At 42.1% G+C, this 21,352-nt stretch overlaps 1 protein-coding gene across 18 annotated transcripts in view; it reads left to right on the top strand.

The window, feature by feature from the left end:
• The window catches only part of TRAPPC9 (trafficking protein particle complex subunit 9), a 730,855-nt gene that overhangs the window by 269,794 nt on the left and 439,709 nt on the right, over nucleotides 1-21,352 (top strand). For 2 of the 18 annotated variants that reach the window (XM_017013893.2, XM_047422299.1), the window contains exon 18: nucleotides 12,125-12,653. The exons of the other annotated variants lie outside the window; for them this stretch is intronic. In XM_017013893.2, the coding sequence (XP_016869382.1) occupies nucleotides 12,125-12,244 (120 nt within the window). In that variant the 3' untranslated portion in view covers nucleotides 12,245-12,653. Of the gene's footprint in view, nucleotides 1-12,124; nucleotides 12,654-21,352 lie in introns of those variants that run through there. 18 annotated transcript variants of the gene reach the window in all.

Genomic DNA, 21,352 nt, shown 5'->3' with positions numbered 1-21,352 from the left:
GAATGAATCAAGAGAGAAGAGGAGCAAAGGTAGATCCCTGGGGAACATCGGTGTTGAAGGGGGCAGTCAGGAAAGTGAAGAGAGACTTGAAGGAGGAAGAGGTCAAGGACATTTCAGGTCTGGGTGCCAGCAAGTGTGAGGCAGAGGCTGGTAAAGGGGAATGCCATGTTTAAAGGCAGGGATAGGCCAGTGTGGTCGGGAGATCTGTGCCATCAAGGTCAGAGTTGGAGGGGTTTGGAGTTTTGCAGGGAGCAGAGATTCAGTAGGGATAAAGATATAAGCTGTGCATAGAAACAAGCTTGTAGCAGAATAGAGAGTTCCAACTTCCCAACAGCTGTGCTGAGAAGTAATGTGTTTTGGAGTTCAGAGGAGGGAGATGTTACTTAATCCGAGGGCCCATTAGGGCAGCAGTCAGAGGATCAGGAGAGATGCATTCATTCACGGGTTTTTATTCATGCTGTCATATATTTATTCAATTCTGTGTTTGTGCGTTGATTTTATTATCTGTATGTTTTGTGTATCTACTTATGGATACCAGGGATTGTTTAAAATTTAAATCCCTGAAGGCAGTGACACTGTCACTCATTCTTGCTGGGGAAATCTCCCCCACCCTCAACCTGCTGAAGAATATTCTATTCCTGCTCGCACATTTAGCTTCTCCTTCTCCCATGATCTCTGGGAGGCCAGGATGGGGAGCACTATTTTCTTGGCTGCTCCTGGATATTTTGTGGGGAGTAAACTGGAAAAATGAGAAGAGCCAGATGAGCCCAGAGGATGTACAGGTGTGGGAGGAGCCCAGTTCCTCTCCCGACCACACTGACCCATCACTGCTTTTAAGAACCTGTGGGATTTGGGAGGCCAAGGCAGGCAGATCACTTGAGCCCAGAAGTTGAGACCAGCCTGGGCAACATGGTGAAACCTCATCTCTACAAAAAATACAAAAATTAGCCAGACATGATGGTGTGTGCCTGTGGTCCTAGCTACTAGGGAGGCAGAGGTGGGAGGATCACTTGAGCCCAGGAGGTCGAGGCTGCAGTGAGCTGTGATCGAGCCACTGTACTCCAGCCTGGGTGACAGAGCGAGACCCTGTCTTAAAAAAAACCACCAACAGGGAAAGGCCAGGACGACGAGGAGAAGTTGGTATCTTTTTGTTAGCTCCAGAGTTTGTGCTGGTGAAAGAAGGTTAGGATGTAGAAAAGGGATTTAGAGACATACAGTGGCTGCTCTTCAGTATTCTTCAAGGGTCCAAGTGAAGAACTGGAATTTTTTCAATGACATGCAACAGTTGACCTGTGTTTCAGGAAGTATAGCCTTGAGCTGAGTCTCAGCCATGTGGGACCCTCGGAAGCAGCTACAGCTTCTTAGTATAGGTCGAGCGTCCCAACTCCGAAAACCCCAAATTTTGGAGCATTTCAGATTTTCCGAGTTGGGATGCTCAGCCAGTACGTATATTGCAAATACAGTTGTCCCTTGGTCTAGGTGGGGCATCGGCTCCAAGGCCCCCGCGTATACTCAAGTACTCTAGTTGGCCTTGCAGAACCTGTGTATATGACAAGTCAGCCCTCTGTTTATGTGAGTTTTGCATCCCACAAATACTGTATTTTCCACCCACGTCTGGCTGAGAAAACCCGCATATGAGTGGACCTGCACAGGTCAAACCTATGTAGTTCGAGGGGTGACTGTATTCAGAAATCTGAAGAAATCCCAAATCTTTTTAAAACACTTACGGTCCCAAGCACTTGGGAAAAGGGATACGCAATCTGTAGAGTACCGTGTAGAGACGAGTATCGAGTGGGTGTGGTTGACCTGATGCTCACTCCCACTGGAATAAAAATAACAGCATTTATCTCTGTTGTGTTTTTTAACTGGCTTTCATCCATAGATTTATTGATTTGCTTGATTCAAAAAAAAGGGAAAGATTTTGCAATGTTGGGTTTAATTTTTAGTGTTAAAAATAATTAAGAAGACCTGATGATTCTGCACCTGAGGGCAAGTGTTTCACCAGCTGTACATTCCCACTCACACTGTCAAGATCCCAGCATTTTAGGATTCCTGTTTTTCTACTTGCTTCAATTAATTAAGAGTAATGAAGAGATGCAGAAACCTCGTATTTGGTGAAGTATACAGTGAAGAAGAAAAGGATACTTATAAATTGTATTGCTTATATTACAAATATAATATTAAATATGAGTAGCCATTTAATAACTTTTTTTTTTTTGAGACAGACTCTCGCTCTGTCGCCTAGGCTGGAGTGCAGTGGCAACCTCTGCCTCCCGGGTTCAAGCAATTCTACTGCCTCAGCTACCCAAGTACCTGGGATTACAGGTGCCCGCCACCATGCCCAGCTAATTTTTTTGTATTTTTAGTAGAGATGGGGTTTCACCATGTTGGCCAGGCTGGTCTCAAACTCCTGACCTCAGGTAATCCACCTGCCTTGGCCTCCCAAAGTGCTGGGATTACAGGCATAAGCCACCATGCCCAGCCTAATAACTTTTAAAACAAGACAGAAGTAGTTCTATTGAGCAAGGAACAGTGATAAAAATGTATAGAAATTGTACAGTGACTATTTTGTAGCTATAGAAATTCTTTAATGGGGTTCTTTAAATTTGCTTTGTAAATTGGTCAAATTAAGTTTGAGAAAATGTTTTACTTTGAAGTTTGTTTAGTAATTTATAATTTTCACAGGGCTTTATTATCTTTTGCATTATTTGAGCTTCATAACAGACTTGTGACAATAGCTTTTGGGTAACAATACCCCAGCGTCACAGACAAGGAGCCTGAGGCATGGAAGGGTCCTCCTTGGCAGCCACCCCTTCTCCTTGACTTTTTTGTTGGCTAATTCCTACCCTCAGTGTCTGGGGCAGGCCTTGAGGGCCTCCTGGACTCCACAACAGCATCCTAATTGCACCCTGAGCCTGTAGTTCCTCTCTGCTATAAAGCTACTTAAGCACTTCCTAAAATATATATTTGTTTGCATCAGTTCTCACCTAAAACCCTTCCCCATCTCCCCATCAGCTGCGAAATAATGCCGGGTTCCCGAGCATGGCGCCCGCGACACTGCACCACGTGGCACTGCACCACACAGTCCCCGCCCCTCGCTGGTGGAGGCTTCCCCTGGTCCTGATGTGGGAATGCGGCTGAGCCCTGGGCAATGACATGTACAGGGTGGGCAGCATGACCAGAACTCCGTCTTCTCCGTCTGGTGGGACACGGCAGGAGTGATGGCCTACCTTGTACTCGCAGGATCAGACCACACCCTGGGGTAGGTAGAACAGCAAGGTGGACTCGGTCCTCAGCCCCCTAGAGCTGCCCTGTTAGGCCTGAATTGCCTGGGCGTGGCAGTTAAGGGAGAGAGAAACGCACTTCCACAGCCCTTAAGGCACTGGCATTTTGGTGATGGCGTAGCACCTGGATCTATGTCCTGACCAGGCCACCTGTCCAGCCTCCTCTGTGCAAGTGGGCCTGTCCAGCATTCCCTGCCGTGCCGAGTTCTCTGACTCCACGTGCGTGTGTCCTGCTGGACTCAGAGCCCCGGGAGGGCAGGGGTGCGTCCTGTCCTTATGTGTGCTGTGTGAGGAGTGCCTGTCACCAGTGTGCCTGTTGGATGCTTCCCATGTCTTCTACCGTACTCAGCGTACATGGTGGTCTCTGGCTATGAAAAATGATCAATTCTATAGCTGAATTGATGACTGAATCTGAGAACATAGTGGGATTATAGGTATTAGCCTGCCATTATTGGCAAGCTATCTCATGGAAAGAGTGCTCTCCTGTCTAGAACTGGTATCATGAACTTAAGAATAAAAAATTATTTTATTTTTGTTTATTGCTTCTTTGCAAATCTAAAATGTTGTGTTAGCAGTCAGGAGAGAGGGTGCTCTGGGGAGGGATGGGCTCGGTGACAGAGCAGACAGGAGAGGGTGGTGGGCGCAGGCATGTTCTTTTTCCAGCTGGGTGCTGGATTTAGATGTGTGCTTTGTAATAATTCATGGACCTTATTCATATTTTGTGTGATTTTCTGTATATGTGTTTTACTTCATTATAAAAATGGTATTTAGGATGCTTGTAATGCCAGCACTTTGGGAGGCCAAGGCAGGTGGATAACTGAGGTCAGGAGGTCGAGGCCAGCCTGGCTAACATGGTAAAACCCTGTATCTACTAAAAATAAAACAAAACAAAACAAAAATTAGTCAGGCATGGTGGCTTACTCCTGTAATCCCAGCTGTTCGGGAGGCTGAGGCAGGAGAATTGCTTGAACCCGGGAGGTGGAGGTTGCAGTGAGCCGAGGTTGTGGCACTGCACTCCAGCCTGGGCAACAGAGTGAGATTCTGTCTCAAAAAGAGAAAAAAATAATAAAGGTATTTAAGAGATAGCTAATTTTAATGATTCTAAAATATAAAGATGGTTTAAAAAATGAGCATTACTTCTACCAAATAGACAAACAGTGTCAACTTTTGGTGAACTTTCTTCCAATTCTTTTTTTTTCCTTGTGTGTTGCTTTTCAAAGAACAGTATAACACTTTTAAAATGGAAAAAGAGCCACCTGCCATATCTTCGGTAAATTAGACTAGTGTAGACTTAAAAAGAGGAATTATCTGAGATGTCACTGGGCCTCACGGATATGTCTGCCCTGTTTCTGTGCAGGTTCACTGCTGTCCTGCTTTCTTGTCAGCTGTGGCCCTGCCCCCACTCTCAGCCCACGACTGCTGACATTGGCAGTCAGTTCTCCAGGCCCGGTCACAGGGTAGAGAAGGCCAGTGCTCAGACCAATGGATCTTCTCTTCTCCCCTCCCTCCTCCCTCCTCCCTCCTCCCTCCTCCCTCCTCCCTCCCCTCCCCTCTCCTCTCCTCTCCTCTCCTCTCCTCTCCTCTCCTCTCCTCTCCTCTCCTCTCCTCTCCTCTTCTTCTTCTTCTTCTTCTTCTTCTTTTTTTTTTTTGACAAAGTCTCATTCTGTCACTCAGGCTGGTGTGCAGTGAGTTGATCTTGGCTCACTGCAAACTCCCCATCCTGGGTTCAAGCGATTCTCCTGCTTCAGTCTCCTGAGTAGCTGGGACTACAGGTGTGCACCACCATGCCCAGCTAATTTTTGTATTTTTAGTAGAGACGTTTCACCATTTGGCCAGGCTGGTCTCGAACCCCTGACCTCAGGTGATCTGCCCACCTTGGCCTCCCAAAGTGCTGGGATTATGGGATTACAGGCATGAGCCACCATGCCCAGCCAGGTCTCCATTTCTAATTGGCAGAAGCTCAGGACTGTTTACTAGCTAATGTTTTCTCAGACCCTTTCAATTCAGATGTGAACTCTCAGAGCTGCTGTGTGGAATACGTAATCGAGGTGGAATTCTGCACTTGGTAGTTTTTAATAGCATTCATCTCTTTCCTAAGTGGATTCCTTTGATTGTATCATTGGACTTGATGGTCTCTCCTCTTTCCTCCACCGTGTATTCAGTAAACTGTGTCAGGAGCTGGGGTTGTAGAGCTCAGAAGGACACGTTTTGTTCCAGTTTATCTGTACACAGGTCTTCCACCAACCATCCCCATCCCCAGCTACACTGTGAACACCTCCAAGCAGGGATTAATTTTTATTCCCTTCCAGTGCCCAACACAGTGCCTGGTACCTAGTAGACTCAGCAAATGTTTCTTGGATTAAAGAATGGGTGAAGACATCATTGTGTCCCTGAAGGAGATTATGGCTCAGTGGTAGAGAAAGCTAGAACTGGAGGAAGAATATGACAAATTCAAGCTTATCTTTTTTTTTTTTCCCCAATAATGCAGAGTTTTCTGTGAGAAATAAGGGAGGTGATGTATATGGAGGCTTCTAGTTTATTTTGGAAGGTAATAGGAAGCTGATTATAGTGATACAGACAAACTGCTCTGGGAGGGAGAGAGTGCTGGCTCCCGTGCATTGGAAAGGCTGCACTGGGAAGCTGGTGGTTGAGCCACAGTTTGGGGGACGCATAGACGGGCAGAGAAGGGGGAATGGCATGATGCAAGTTGTGGTGTGTGTGACGATGTGTTCAGCTGAGGGTAATAGGTCAAGGCCAGGTCAAGAGGGTCATGATTGCCAAGAGGCTGTATTTTTAGAATTTCTTAAAGTAAGCTCTCAAATGGCACAAAGATTTGTTCTGCCAGCTCCTAATATTCTTTATTGGAGAATGAAATGGAAAGACTCTGAGCAAGAGGTTGAGAGGACACTTGGCAAAATGACACTTTGCAGTGTGCTTCGATCAGTGAGCTTAGATCAGCGTGCACTAAATTGCCTTAAAATAGTATGAAGTTAGGGCTGTACAGTTTCAGAATTAGCAGACACTAATGTATCAGTAGTGAAGCTGTTTTCTGTCTATCGAATAACAGCTTTGGGAAGCGGCCATTCTCAAACATATTTGTGAAATCGAATTTAGAGTAGTGGGCAGTTACTTTTGGAAGCCAACATTCCCAAGCCGTATTTTTTTTTTTTTTTAGTTGAAATATGTAGAAAACAGTTGAATAGACCAAGGTCTTAGGGAAAGGCAGGCTTCGGAAACATTTGCCTGCTTCAACCCAGAGACTATAATGTAAAGAATTTTTGGATAAATGTATGCACTGGAAAGCAAGATTTCCGGGTACCTGAAGCAAAGAGGAAATTCAAAATCTGAGTGATTAACAGAAACTAAAGCCAAAGTGCCTCCTTGTGATAAACTTTGCCAACCAGCACTAGGCTTGTATGCTGATGTAAAGAAGGGAGTTCAGGCTGCAGCTCCCTGGTACTGAGTCATGAAGGGCTTCCCTCAGATTGGACCAGGAAAGTCTGGTCCCCAGACTGGGGAGAGGCAGGGAAGCATGCCATGGCCTAGCACCTGAGGATGCACAGATTTACCATAGGAAACCTGCAGGGAGCAGCCAACCCAGGTAGAAAACTGCTCCATAGAGATACTTCTCTGGCCACAGAGACATGGACTTCCCATAAGAAGTAATTTCTGTGGAGCACGAGTGTACAGCCACAGACAACAAACTACACAAGGAGGCAGACCACCATGAGGGGGAATCTACAGGGGCAGCAGATGGGAGAATTTATACCTCAGGAAAGACACTTTTAAAGAACCCTGTTTGATATGGTCAGAATGGTATTAGAAGAAATAAAACCACAAGTATGAGACAAAAGCAAGCTAATTTGAAAAAGAACCTCATGGAGATTCTAAAATAAAAAATATATAGTGACGGCTGGGTGCAGTGGCTCACACCTGTAATTCCAGCACTTTGGGAGGCCGAGGTGGGTGGATCACTTGAGGCCAGGAGTTTGAGACCAGCCTGGCCAACATGGTGAAACCCCATCTCTACTAAAAATACAAAAAACAAAACAAAACAAAACAAACCAACAAAACTTAACTGGACGTCTTGTCAGGTATCTGTAATCCCAGTTACTTGGGAGGATCAGGCAGGGGAATCATTTGGACCCTGGAGGTGGAAGTTGTAGTGAGCTGAGATCACACCACTGCAGTCCATCCTGGGTGACAGAGCAAGATTCTGTCTCCCCATGCCCCCCACCTCTCAAAATAGATATATGGTGGTTGAAGTAAACAAAAACTTAAAACACAGAGTTGAGGAGTTAAAGAAGAGACTAGATGCAATTGAAGACAGAGTAATTTGGAAGATAGAGCTTAGGGAACTTCACAAAATGGGTTACAGTGAGACAGGTAGAAAATGTGAAAGAATAGTTGAGAGCATAGAATAAGAGTCTAGTTGGAGATCCAGGAATAGAAAGCAGAAAAAATCCTGGAGAGAAAAATATTCAAAGAGATGGCAACTGAGAATTAGCCTGAGAAATGCATGCATGAGGTCTTAAATTGAACAAGTACATCAAGTTTTGAATTTTCAAGTTTAATGGGAATGATAAATCCTCAGATCCAAGAAGCTGAACAAACCCCAGTCAGGATGGACACACACACACAGTCACATAAGTTAATCAAATTACTGAAAACTGGTTGTATTGAGAAAAATCTTTAGCCAGAGGAAAAGCCACAAATTACATGGGAACAAAACTGATGATAATTGTAGACCTCTTGTTGGAAAAAATGCTCCTGGAAGACAGTGGAATTTGATCTTTCACTTGGTAAAAAAAAAAAAAAAAAATAGCTGTTAACTTGGAATTCTATATCCAGCAAAAATATCCATAAAAAAATACAAATAAAGACAAAAGCTGAGAGAATTCCTCTCCAGAAGACTTACTCTGCTAGAGTGCTTAAAGGAGGTTCTAAGGCAGAAAAAACAATGCCTCAGATCTTGAAATGTATTAGAAATGGTAGAAATATAGGTAAATATGAGAATAAATAGAAATTTATTTTTGAATTTTTACGTTTCCTTGAAGGAATATTGATCACATTTTAAGCAAAAACCTCCATATACTATTATGTCTTTAAAACATATATAAAGGAAAAAATATGACAAACATAGGATGGAAGGGAGAAATGGAAATATATGGTGGTAGATTCTTACATTATATGTAAGGTTATATGATATTATTTGAAAATAGATTGTGATGAGTTTAAGATGCACATTGAAATGACAGAAGAAACACAAAACAAAAGAATACAAAGTGTTATAGCTGATAAATCTATATAAAATAGAATCCTAAAAAATTCAATTATAAAATAAGGGAGGAAAAGAAGAGAAAAGGAACAAAAAAGAGACGGGAGAAATAGCAAGGTGGTAGAAGTAAGCTCAACAGCATCTATAACCACATTAAGTGTAAATGACCTAAGAGCTTCAATATAGTGGTAGAGACTATCATACTGGCCAAAAAAAAAAAAAAAAAAAAATCAAGATATAACTATAAATTGTTTATAGGAAATTCATTTAAATATAAAAACATAGATTAAGTAGAAATGGATTGGAGAAGATATATTTTGCAAACACTTGTCATAAGAAAGCAGGAACAACTTTATTAATATAAGACAAAGTTGACCAGTAGTATTATCAGGAATAAAGAGGGACGTTTTGTAATGATGAAAGGGTAAATTCTTCAAGAACATGTGACATTTCAAAATGTGTATACACCCAATAACAGAGCTTCAACATGCATGAAGCAAATAGCTGACAAAATTGAAATGAGAAGTGGACAAATCCATAATTATAGTTGGAGATATCACCACTCTTGGTAATTGATAGATCAAATAGAAAGAATGTCAGTGAAGATATAGAAGACTTTGACACTCACAACCAATTTGATCTAGTTCACATTTCTAGATTGCTTAACAACAACAAATATACACATTATTTTCAAATACACATTGAACATTTGGTAAGATAGACCATATTTGGGGTGATAAATCAAGTCTCAATAAATTTTAAAATATTTAAATCACATACAGAGTATACTATGTGACCACAACAGAATTAAATTAAAACTCAGTAACATTAAGATACATTGGTAAGCCCCAAATATTTGAAAATTAAGCAACACATTTCTAAATAACCCGTGGGCTCCAAGAAGAAATCACAGGGTAATTTGAAAACATTGTGAATTGGCTAAAAATAAAAACACGGCATTTCATAATTTCTGGATGCAACTAAAGCATTGCCTCAATGGAAATTTGTAGCCATAGATGCTTACACTGGGAAAGGAGACTTGTTTCAATTCATGAGCTATGTTCTGTCTCAAAAGAAGAAATCAAAGCCAAAGTAACTAGAAAGGAGAAGAAAATAAAGATCAGAAATTAATCAATTTTACAACAATGGAGAAAACCCAGTGAAACCAAGAGCTTGTTCTCTGAAGAGATCAATAAAATGCATGCACCTCTAGCCAGACTTACCAAGATAAGAAGACATAACATATCAATATCAGGAATGAAAAAGGAGACATCAGTCTTTCCTACAGACATTAGAAGGATAATAATTGTAATGGAAAACTTCATGTGAGTGAATTTGATAAGTTAGATGAAATAGAAAAATATTTTGAAAGATGCACATCACCAATATTTATTGAAGATGAAACGGAATGCCTAAATAGCCCTTTCTTTAATAAAAGTCAGTTCATTATTCAAAAATATTTCCCCAAATAAAATATTAGTCACAGAATTTCACTGGTAAATTTTATCACATTATAATAAAGAGGAAATACAATTTTTATAAAAATTCTTTCAGAAAGTAGAGGAGGGAACATTTCCCAATTTGTATTATCAGGCTAGCTTTATCCTGACACCAACATCAGAGACACTATAAGAAGATTACAGAACGATGTCCATCTTGAGCATGTATGCAAAACCCTTGAAAAATTAGCAAATGGAATCCAATGATATATTTATTAAAAGAAGAAAAAGAATGCAGCATTCTATGAAATGGGTGGTTCATTGTGATCTAGTGAGATTTATTCTGAGAATGCAAGGCTGGTTAAGTATTCAAATTTCAATCAGTGTCATTCACTATATTAATAGAATGAAGGAGAATAAAAACCATGATCATAGCAATAGATGTATAATGAGCCTCTGACAAAATGCATCACACATTTATGATACAAAACACTTAGGAGACTGGAAATAGAAGCCCACTTGCTAACAGGCCTCTGTGCTCAACAGTATGCTTAATGGTGAATGCTTTCCTCCTAAGGCCGGTAAGAAGGCAAGGATGTTCATATTCATTACTTCTATTTCATATTGTGCTGAATAGTCTAGTTAGTGCCATAAGGAACAAAAAATGTGCCCAGATTGGAAAGGAAGAAATAAAACTCGTTATTCACAGAAAACATTACTATGCATGTAGAAAATACTAAGGAATTTACAAAAAGTAGAGTAATTTAGCAAGGTAGTAGGATACATGATTAATATACAAAAGTCAAACCTATGTCTATATATTATCAATGGACATTTGGAAAATAAAGTTAAGAATACCATATCATTTATAAAAACAAAAATTATATACTTGGGGATAAATTTAAGAAAAGATGTGCAAGAATTGTACATTGAAAATTACAAGAAAATATACATTTTCTCAAGACAATTATAGGAGATTGTCTATTCCCAAGACAATTATAAAAGATTGTCTTGAGAAAATGATCCAAATAAATAGAAAGACACTGAAAGATATACATGGCTATGGGTAGTAATACCTCATATTAAAAATGACAGTTCTTCCCAAATTGATCTTTATATTCAATGCAGGTGTAATCGAAATTCCAGCAGGCTTGTTTTTTTTTCTTAGAAATTGATTGCTTTATTCTAAAGTTTGTATGACGTATGTAGGAACTAAAATATCCCAGACAACGAAGCTACAGTAATTAACACAGTGTGATATTGGCATAAGGATAAACATAGATTAATGGAAACAAAATAGGAAGTCCCCATTAATAGTAATAGACCCATCCATAAATAGTCAATTGATTTTGGACTAATGTGCCAAGGTAATTCAAAGGGGGAAGGATTGGCTTTTTCAACAGGTGATGCTGGAACAACTAATTATTTATATGCCAAAAATTAACTCCGACCCTTAACCCCACATGTATATAAAAATTAGATCAAAATGGATCATAGACTTAAATATAAGAGATATAAAGCAGTAAAGTTTCTAGAAGAAAACATTCAAGAAAATCTTCTCAGTCTTGAGATGGGTAGAGATTTCTTGGGACAAAAAGTCTAAAACACAAAGGACAAAATGGTAAATTAGACGTCATCAAAATTAAAAACTTCTCTTCAAAAGCCACTTTTAAAGCAATAAAAAAGCAAGCTCAGCCTTGGAGTAAGTATTTGCAAAACATGTATCTGTTAAAAAGACTTGTATCCAGAATAGACATAAAGCTCTTACAACCAATAGTAAGACAAATAACTAGATTTTAAAAATAGGCAAATGATTTGAATAGCTAATTCACCAAAGAAGATACGTGCATGGCAAATAACATGAAAAGATGCTCAGCATCACTTGTCAGTAAGGAAATGCAAACTAAAACCATGAGGAGATTTCATTATGCGATCCATTTGAATGACTAAAAAGAGTGATTATTGCAAGCATTGGTGAGGCTACAGAGTAACTGGAACTCTCCTATATTATGAATGAGAATGTAAAATAGTGTGACTACTTTGGGGAAATGTTTAGCTATTTATTGTTAAACATATACTTATGTGATGACCCAGCAATTCCTCTTCTCCCCTATGTACCTTAGGAAAATGAAAACACGGATTCACTCAAAGACATGACCGATGCCCATAGCAGCTTTATTCATAATAGCCCCAAACTGGAAACAAAATGTCCAGGAACAGATGAATGGATAAACACACTTTAACATACCCATGCAGTGCAATACCACGTGGCAGTGGAGAGAAACGAGCTACCGGTATGCCCAACACACAGATGAATCTCAGAAACGTTACTGTCTGTGGAAGCAAGACACGAAAGAATGCAGACTGTGTGATTCTGTTCATAAGGAATTCTGGAATGTGCAAAGTGAAACTGTCATAACAGGAGGCAGGTCACTCGTTGCTGGAGGCTTTGGGGTGGGACGTTAGATGGCCAGAGAGGAGGCAGGAAGGCACTTTTAGGGGTGATGGGAATACTCTACGTGTTAGTTGTGCAAGTGGATACACCAGTACGTTAATTTATTAGGGGTGGTTTTGCATACACTTGGAGTGGCAACATTTTGTTCATATTAATTATTTCTCAATAAAATAAAACAACTTTCATAGTTCAAGAGAGATCGTCTTTGACTGTCTTTCCTTACCTCTCAGCCTGTCGATGTGTTCAGTGGCCCTGTATTTTCCTTTGTCACATCACTTAGCACACACTGAGTTGCGACGGTTTCCTTCCCTGTCTCTTCCATCAGACTCTCAGTTTCTTAAGAACAAGGAATGTCTTTTACGTGTCTGTCCTCAGGGCATAGCCCGATGTCTGGCATGCACATTCACTGCCGAATAAGTGTATGTTCAGTAGGATGGCTTCAATTTATTGATTGCCTACAATGTGAGATAGTTGTAGATGTTTTGCATTTATTATTTCTGATCCTTAGTAAATGTTTGCTACACAAATAAAGAATCCTCACTGCATTCCAGAAGTCATGGTACACGGTTGCACACTGTCATGGAGTGTATAGCATTGGAGCACAGCACACAGAGAGGCTGGATGGTTTAAATATTCTGTTCAATGGCAGTGTCAGGATTAAACCCGTGGATGTCGTCAGATTTCGTTGTTTTACATCTAAATCTTCAGCTATTGTCTGCACATACTTAAGACTCAGTTACTTTTCTGTTTTTAGAATTGGTCTTGTCAGCAAGTAGAGTTTACTCTGGAGATGTGAGCCTTACATTTTCTAATCTCTTTGGCGTTCATTTCTTTTGTTTGAGGCTGTGATTCAAAGTAGGAAACATGCTGGAACCAACTCTTTTTCAGAACCTGGCCCGCATCTCAGGTGCTGCTTGCTTAATTGCGTAATAAAGGACCTCTGTGGTAGAAGCCTGGAAACTGCTGTGGCGTCTCTTATGCCAATGTCTGCTTGTTCCCTTTCCCTCAAAGAAATAATACATCTCTTGCTGACACTCAGTGTAATGGAGGTTCATAATTCAAAAACCAATTATTTGGGGCAACTATTGGATGAATTTTCTTTGGCATCCTTTTGTTGGCTGATTTTCCTGTTAGCTGTGTGTACTGTTTTCTAAAGAAACATGGTAAGTGGTTGTCTGTTGGAAATTGAATTGTAATTGAATAGATTCTGAGATTTGACGACTGAAACCAGGCAACACCATGTACTCCCCATTTTTGTTGTCTGTTAAATTCTAAAGAGGTTTTTAAGTATCTTTGACTTTCGGTTACAGTAAAAAAAAAAAAAAAAATCCCCAGGTGCATTGAAAAACAGTTTGGTAGTTCCACAAAAAACATAGTTATCATATGAGCCCACATTTCCACCCTGGGTCTATACTCAAGAGAACTGAAAACATGTTTGCAAAAACTTGAACACAATGTTCATAGCAGTATTATTTATGATAGTCAAACAGTGGAAACAACCGAAATGCCCGTCAGCTGGTGAATGGATAAACTGTTGTAGATTAATGCAATAGAATTATTATTTCAGCCCAGAAAAGGAGTGACGTACTGATCCATGCTTTGACATGATGCACCTTGAAAACATCGTTAAGCGGAAGAAGCCAGACACAAAAGGCCACACGTCATATGACGCCATTTATAGGAAGTGTCCAGAATAGGCAATTCCATGGAGACAGAAGGCAGATTGATGGTTGCCAGGGGCTTGGGGGAAAGCAGGAGGGGGAATCGGGAGTGACTGCTAATGGGTACATGATTTCTTTTTGGGATGATGGAAATACTCCGAAATTAGATAGTGATGATGATTGCACAATTCTGTGAATATACTAAAAGTCACTGAGTTGTATACCGTTTCCAAAGGGTGAATTTTATGGCGTGTGAATTATACCTCAATTTATTTTATTTTTTAACTTTTACGTTTGGGGGTACATGTGCAGGATGTGCAGGTTTGTTACACAGGTAAACATGTGTCATGGGGGTTGGTTGTGTAGATTATTTCATCAGCCAGGTATTAAGCCCAGTGTCCATTAGTCATATTTCCTGCTTCTCTCCCTCCTCCCACCCTCCATCCTCCAAGAGGCCTCAGTGTGTTGTTGTTTCCCTCTATGCGTCCATATATTCTCATTATTTAGCTCCCACTTATAAGTGAGAATATGTGTAAATCTCAATTAAAAAAAAATCCTCAAAGCTAAACATTTTTCCTTCTTCTCCACTTTTCTTCTTGCCCTTTACCCCCCAAACTCATGTCTTCTGAATAATGATTATAATGGCTACCATGGCTCAGGCTCCTGCCGTGTGTCATCTGCCATGCTAGGCACTTGGTATTTGCCATTTTATTAATTATTACAATAACCCCATTTTACAGATGCTGACATCATCAGAGGCTCAGAGAAGCTGAGCCACTTACCCAGTTTCACGTACTAGTGAGCAGGTGGAGCCAAGACTGAAGCACGTTCTAGTCTGACTACTGGACATATTTTGCTGTCTCTGATATTTCCGTACCACATTGATGAAATCTTCCTGATAAATATTTCCAATGCATGGATAGCTAAGTTTATGCCATAGTCTATAGACATATCTTAGACTGGGGTGAGCAAATGCTTGCATGGGGCAAGCGAGTCCCCTACTGGAGGTATGTGGGGACCAGAAGATCTGTACCCTGACTGAAGGCAATTCAATCACCAAGTTTCATGTGACACTGAGTGGGCTAACCAGAAGATTTTTTTTTTTTTTTTTTTTTGAGACAGAGTCTTGCTCTGTCGCCCAGGCTGGAGTGCAGTGGTGCGATCTCGGCTCACTGCACGCTCCACGTCCTGGGTTCACGCCATTCTCCTGCCTCAGCCTCCCGAGTAGCTGGAACTACAGGCACCCGCCACCAAGCCTGGCTAATTTCTTGTATTTTCAGTAGAGACGGGGTTTCACCTTGTTAGCCAGGATGGTCTCGATCTCCTGACCTCGTGATCCTCCTGCCTCGGCCTCCCAAAGTGTTGGGATTACAGGCATGAGCCACTGTGCCCGGCCACAGAAGATGTCTTTAATCCAAGGGTTCTAGTTTGTGATTCCACTGCCCCATCTGTTCCATCTTGGTTCTCTCCTTCCTGGTAATTCTTGTAGTAGTCTTGTAGACTATTAATTGAAAGCTGTTATCAGTTAATGGGTTGTGCATACGTCAGTATAAAACCTAGTACAAATGCAGACCCTATGGAACAGCAGTAGCATTATCTCTGCTTATCTTCTCAGTGTCTGTCTCCATAGCTACTGTCTCATGCTTAGGGCCCCATGATCTCAGGCTTTGACCACAGGTATTGTGCAGCTTTTTAACCAGCCACCAGCTTCAGTATCTTCCCTCCATTTCATTCTACACTGGACAGCCAACAAGTGTAGTGGCTCAGAGACAGTGTGTGCAGTCATGTAATTGGACCTGAGCACTTGGTAGCTGTTGACCATGGTCAAAGGAATCTCACCGAATCACAGTTTTCTCCCCTATAAATTTGGGAATGATAGTACTTTTCTTGTAGGTTGGTTAGGAGAATTATTTTTAATCATAGTAATAGGTAATGTTATTGCTGCTTCCTGTGTGCTGGAAACTTTCTAAACTCAAAGCATTTAGCACAGTGTGCGGCATTTCTGAGTGTCAGGAAGTGTCAGCTGCTGCTGCTGCTGCTGCGATCGTAGCTCTCATAAAACTCAAGTAGGCTGTTCCTTTCTTAAGTCTCCTCCATTGTAAACTCCAGAGGTAGTTTAACCCCCTGTCCACTGTCAGAGGTAGTTTAACTCCCCCTCCATTGTCCAGAGGTAGTTTAACCCCCCTCCATTGCCCAGAGGTAGTTTAACCCCCCTCCATTGCCCAGAGGTAGTTTAACCCCCCTCCATTGCCCACAGGTAGTTTAACCCCCCTCCATTGCCCACAGGTAGTTTAACTCCCCCTCCATTGTCCAGAGGTAGTTTAAACCTCCTCTGTTGTCCAGAACTAGTTGAAACTGACATCATGGTCCTTTTTCAATCCGATACCATCCTGGCTTTTAATTGTATCTCTTCCCGTCTCTGGGGAGTCCTCCCTGTGTGCTCAGAGTGCTCTGTTTCACGTTGCTGTGCTCCACAGGTGCTCATGCTTTCTGGTCCAGTGCAATGCCACAGCCTCTGCCTGCCCTTCCTCCTGAATAAAGAGACAGTTCTTCCTTTGTGTGGCCACAGCAGTTGGCACATACTTGAGTGGGAGCAATTACTGCACTGAATTTCTATTATGTATTTGCTTAGCCTTCAGATATGAACTCAGCCTTTCTCCGAGCCTGGCTCAGAGTACCTGCGGCACCCATAGCAGTTGTCATTTTCTGTTGCTTTTCTGCCCTCCTCACGCCGCCAGATACTCCTCAAGACAGAGCCCTTATGTTCCGAATGGTGACCCCTAGCACCCTCGGTGATTCCTGCACAGTGCCTTGGTTGGTGCGGCCATACTCCTACCCCAGAGTCCTGCTTTGAATGCACTAAAAAGTATAAATATTAGCATGGCACTGGAGTAGAGCATGGGGGCATCTCAGGAATATGGACTTGGAGTTCTCCCAATTTTTTCCTCCTACGGGTCCACGGGGTCCCTTTGTCCCCCTCAGATGCACTGCCAGGCAGTGCAGGTGCTGGGGGCTCGAGAGTGGAAGAAGCTGCATGGCAGAGGACCTCAGCTCTTGGTGCGCTTTGACTCGACAGGTACTTTTATCCCTTGCTGTTTGTGATTCTTGCTGTAAATAAGTCTTGTAAGATCTAACAGGACATAGCTGTAAGCATAGAGAATCACAAAGACCCTCAATGACTTAGAGGATATGTTTTACAGGTATGTTCTTCCTGAGAACTTAGTCTTCAGCAGTGGCCTAGATGATGTTCCATTTTATACATACAGTAAAATTTTAATATTTTCAATGGATGGGTGAATAAATAAAGTTGCAGCATTTATTTACTAATTGTTTCTTCTTTTAAAAGAGTATTTTTCTTTACCTATATATGCTGTCACCAATCTGTTTCTGTCTATAGTGAGATAGGTATTTTTTTGGTCTCTGTAATGTTTATGCATAAGAATATTAAGATTGAAGAGGATATTTTGGTTGTTTAGCCAGAGATCCAGAAATGCCCAACCCCAGCTCTAAGTGGTATATTCAGAAGAGGTCATTTATCAGCTCATTTAATGGGAAAGTGCAGATGGAGGTTTGTTTTCAGTTTCAGACATCATCTCTCAACTCTCTAACCTGTTTCTCGCAACTTGATGTCATTCTTAGGCTCCAGGTGGCAGGAATGTGGCTGGCCAGGTGTCAGGCTGGTGTTTTCCAGGTGGGATGATGAGAAAATAGTGTGCACTTCTCTGTCTTCATTGAAAAACCTCTGACCCACCTCTTCACGACCCAGTCACCTGCCCGAGGTTCTTGGAGGCTGGGGCTGGCTAGGCCTGAGTCTGAGATCTACCTGTGAGGCTGCAGGCCTGGCCATTCTCACCCCAGCACAGGAGTAGCGCTGGAGCTGGGTAGTTCTCTAGAGGGAAATGAGGGTGTTGTGACCAGAAGAGGAGTGAGCTCATGTTGGGCTATAAAACAACCACGTCGTCCTTGCTTTCCTTCAAAGAGTGCTCCTGAGACTGCTTTTCTAAGGCTCTTTCTGATCCTCATCAGTTTCCCAGTGAGCCTTCTTCATGCCTCCTTGAGTCTCTGTAGCTCATTCTGTTATAGACCAGAGTGGGATGTCTATATGTCCCCCTAATTGGGTTTCAAGTTCCTGAGAGGTAAAGACTATTTTTCTACCTTTCTCCCACAACCCTTGGCATGTGTCAGATTCTCAACAAGTGTTTCAGAGAGGCCACAGGCAAAGAGGATGTGGAATTTGGGATCAGACACACCTGGCTTCCTGTTGGGGCTCTTTTGCTTATTGGCTGAGCAGCCTTTGGAAGATCATTTTCCTTCTGTGAACTTAGTTTCTTAATCTAGAGAACAGACATGATACTGTCTCCTTTGGTAGAGTGATTTCAGGATTATGGAGGGTGCCTAGCATAGCATCCAACAGAAATTAGAGATCATGGCTCTCACATGTGTGACATAGAGGACATGGTCATACAGCAACTCCAGCTGTCCTCACCCCACTGCCACTTCCAGAAATCACAGATTATGAGCATCCTGATAGGGCTTCTGTTTGTTAAAACAGCAATAAAAGAACATTTATATAATAATTTTATTGCTTCCAATAAAATGCTTTTAAAAAGTCATGTAAAAGACTCATATATAGCAGGGCACAGTGGCTCACACCTGTAGTCCCAGCACTTCTGGAGGCCAAGGTAGGTGGAATTCTTGAGTCCAGGAGTTTGAGGTCACCCTAGGCAACATGGTGAAACCCCGTCTCTACAGAAAATGCAGAAACTAGCTGAGCATGGCGGTGCACACCTGTAGTCCCAGCTATTCAGGAGGCTGAGGTGGGAGGATCAGTTGAGCCCGGGAGGTTGAGGGTACAGCTTCAACCGAAAAGGAAACCCTATACCCATCTAGCAGCCGATCCTCCTCCTCCCGACCCCGGCTCTGAAAACCACCAATCTGCATTCTGTCTCTATAGATTTTCCTATTCTGAATGTTTCCTATAAACGGAATCATATACACTTTCACTTCCCTTCTCTCACTTAGCCTGTTCTCAAGGCTCGTAGATGCCGTGCTGAGCATCAGTGCTTCCTTCCTTCTCGTGGCTGGACAATATGTCATCGTACTGCCCTTCCACATCCGCATTCTGTTTGTCCAATCATCTGTCGATGGCCACCTGGGCTGTTTCCACCTTCGGGTTACTGTGAACATGTGTGTGCATGTATTTGCTTGGATGCCTGTTTTCCATCCTCTTGGGTCTGTACCTCTCCGTGGAATTGCTGGATCCTAGGCTGACTCTCTGTTGAACCGTTTGAGGAGCTGTATTCGACAGCAGCTGAAGCATTTTCCATTTCCGCCAGTCATGCGCGAGGGTTCTGAATTCTCCACACCCTTACCAACACTTGTTACCTCCCAGCTGTGTTATTGTAGCCATCCTAGTGGATGTGAAGTGGTGCTTCACTGTGGTTTTGATTTGCACTCAATAACTATTTTTTATTTCAAATATTATCTATGTTCACTGTAAAAAACTAATAGCAATTTTATTTTTATTTACTTAAAAATAAATGAATTTTTCCCAGCTTCCTCAGAGATGTACAGGCTCCTCTGGGCTCATATTTCCCCCTTGCTTACCTCATGCATGTTGGTTCATCTGCCTGTCCTTCCAGGGGACCGCGAGCCCCTCGAAAACAGTTTGTGTCAGAACCTCCAGCATCCAGTCACTCATTCAACAGGCATTTATTAAAAGCCTACTATGTCAAAATAGGAGCAGAGAGCAGTAAACAAATTCTGGTGCATCTCCCCATAGAACTTACCCTCTAGTGAAGGAGACACAATAACTATTCAATGCATAAAAGATCTGTGGGTTGTGGAGAAAAATCATTTTGGGGAGGGAAAGCATGAAGCTGGAGAGAGTGAAATGCACCCCACATCTGGATGGCCTGGCCCCAGGCCTGTTCCCCTGGACACTGGTCACTCAGGCAGCACCACCTCTCCTGGCCCTCAATCCGTCTGTCCTTGCCTTCGAGGGAGGACCAGACATGACAGCAAGAAATTCCAAAGGAAAACAGACTTCACTCTGAGGACAGCGAGGAATCATCAAAGAGCCCTCCTAACTCGTGCTAGCAGCAGTTACTCAGCATCCATGAGCCTTGAGAACAGGCTAAGTGAGAGAAGGGAAGTGAAAGTATGTATGATTCCGTTTATAGGAAACATTCAGAACAGGAAAATCCATAGAGACAGAATGCAGATTGGTGATTTTCAGGTCCTGGGTGGGGAGAAGGGGCATCAGCTGCTAAATGGGTATAGGGTTTCCTTTTTGGGTTAAAAAAATGTTTTAGAACTGGATAGAGGTGGTTGCATAACATTGTGAATGCACTGAAGGCTGCCGAACCATTCGTCACTGGAGAATGGTTAATCTTACATTATGCCAATGTCACCTTCGATATGTTATTGACAAATTTTAAAAATCATCCTGATCACTTTGAAATGATCAAAGTACGTGATGACAAAATGACAAAGTTGCCACACTAATAAGATACCTAGATACCTTTAACTACCTCATTGTCAGTGCATCTCGTTATTGAGCAAGTTACCTGATAGAGGAGAAAGCTGGGGTTTGGGGAGTGGGAGATGATGGCTTGGCATCTTTTTTAGTCTCGTCCATGTATCTGACATACAGCCATATGCCACATTTCATACAGTTGCTGCATAGATTTCTGCAAAACTTTAACTTCTCCTTTTATCCATAATGCATATTTTCTGGGTGCCGGAGTTACCGTTGCTCTTTGAGCAGGTTCATTCAGAGCAGAACCCTCCTGTGAGAGGGATGCTTTCCCTTCAGTTAATCATCGAGAAAATGGAGATGTTCCCATTTAATTACTGTCGTTTCTTTGTAGAAGTACTGGGTCAGCTTTCGTGTGGCCTTTTGCTTTAGAAATGAAAGAAAGAGAAATACATATTCATGCCTATGAAATAGCGGGAGCTTAAAACTCATCATCAGCCCCATCTTCGTACTTGAGCTTTCCTCTTACATTTCCAATTTTCTTTGAGATATTCCCATTCACATACCTTCATGTTCCTATAACTACCACATGTCTAAAGGTGAAGCTGTCTTTTTGCCAGTCAGACATAGGCTTGAGAGTCATTCCAGCTGCTGCCAGCTGTATGGCCTCAGTCAGCCCTCAGAACCTCCGTTTCCACCCTTGTCAGGTGAGGATGGTGATGGCTTTCCGAGGACTGTTGTGAGGATTCAAAGGGGT

This window comes from Homo sapiens, chromosome 8 (genome assembly GCF_000001405.40).
Source record: "Homo sapiens chromosome 8, GRCh38.p14 Primary Assembly".
In the NCBI taxonomy this organism is placed as follows: domain Eukaryota; kingdom Metazoa; phylum Chordata; class Mammalia; order Primates; family Hominidae; genus Homo; species Homo sapiens.
Note: the sequence above shows the minus strand (reverse complement) of the source record. Positions and strands in the feature narration are given on the sequence as shown.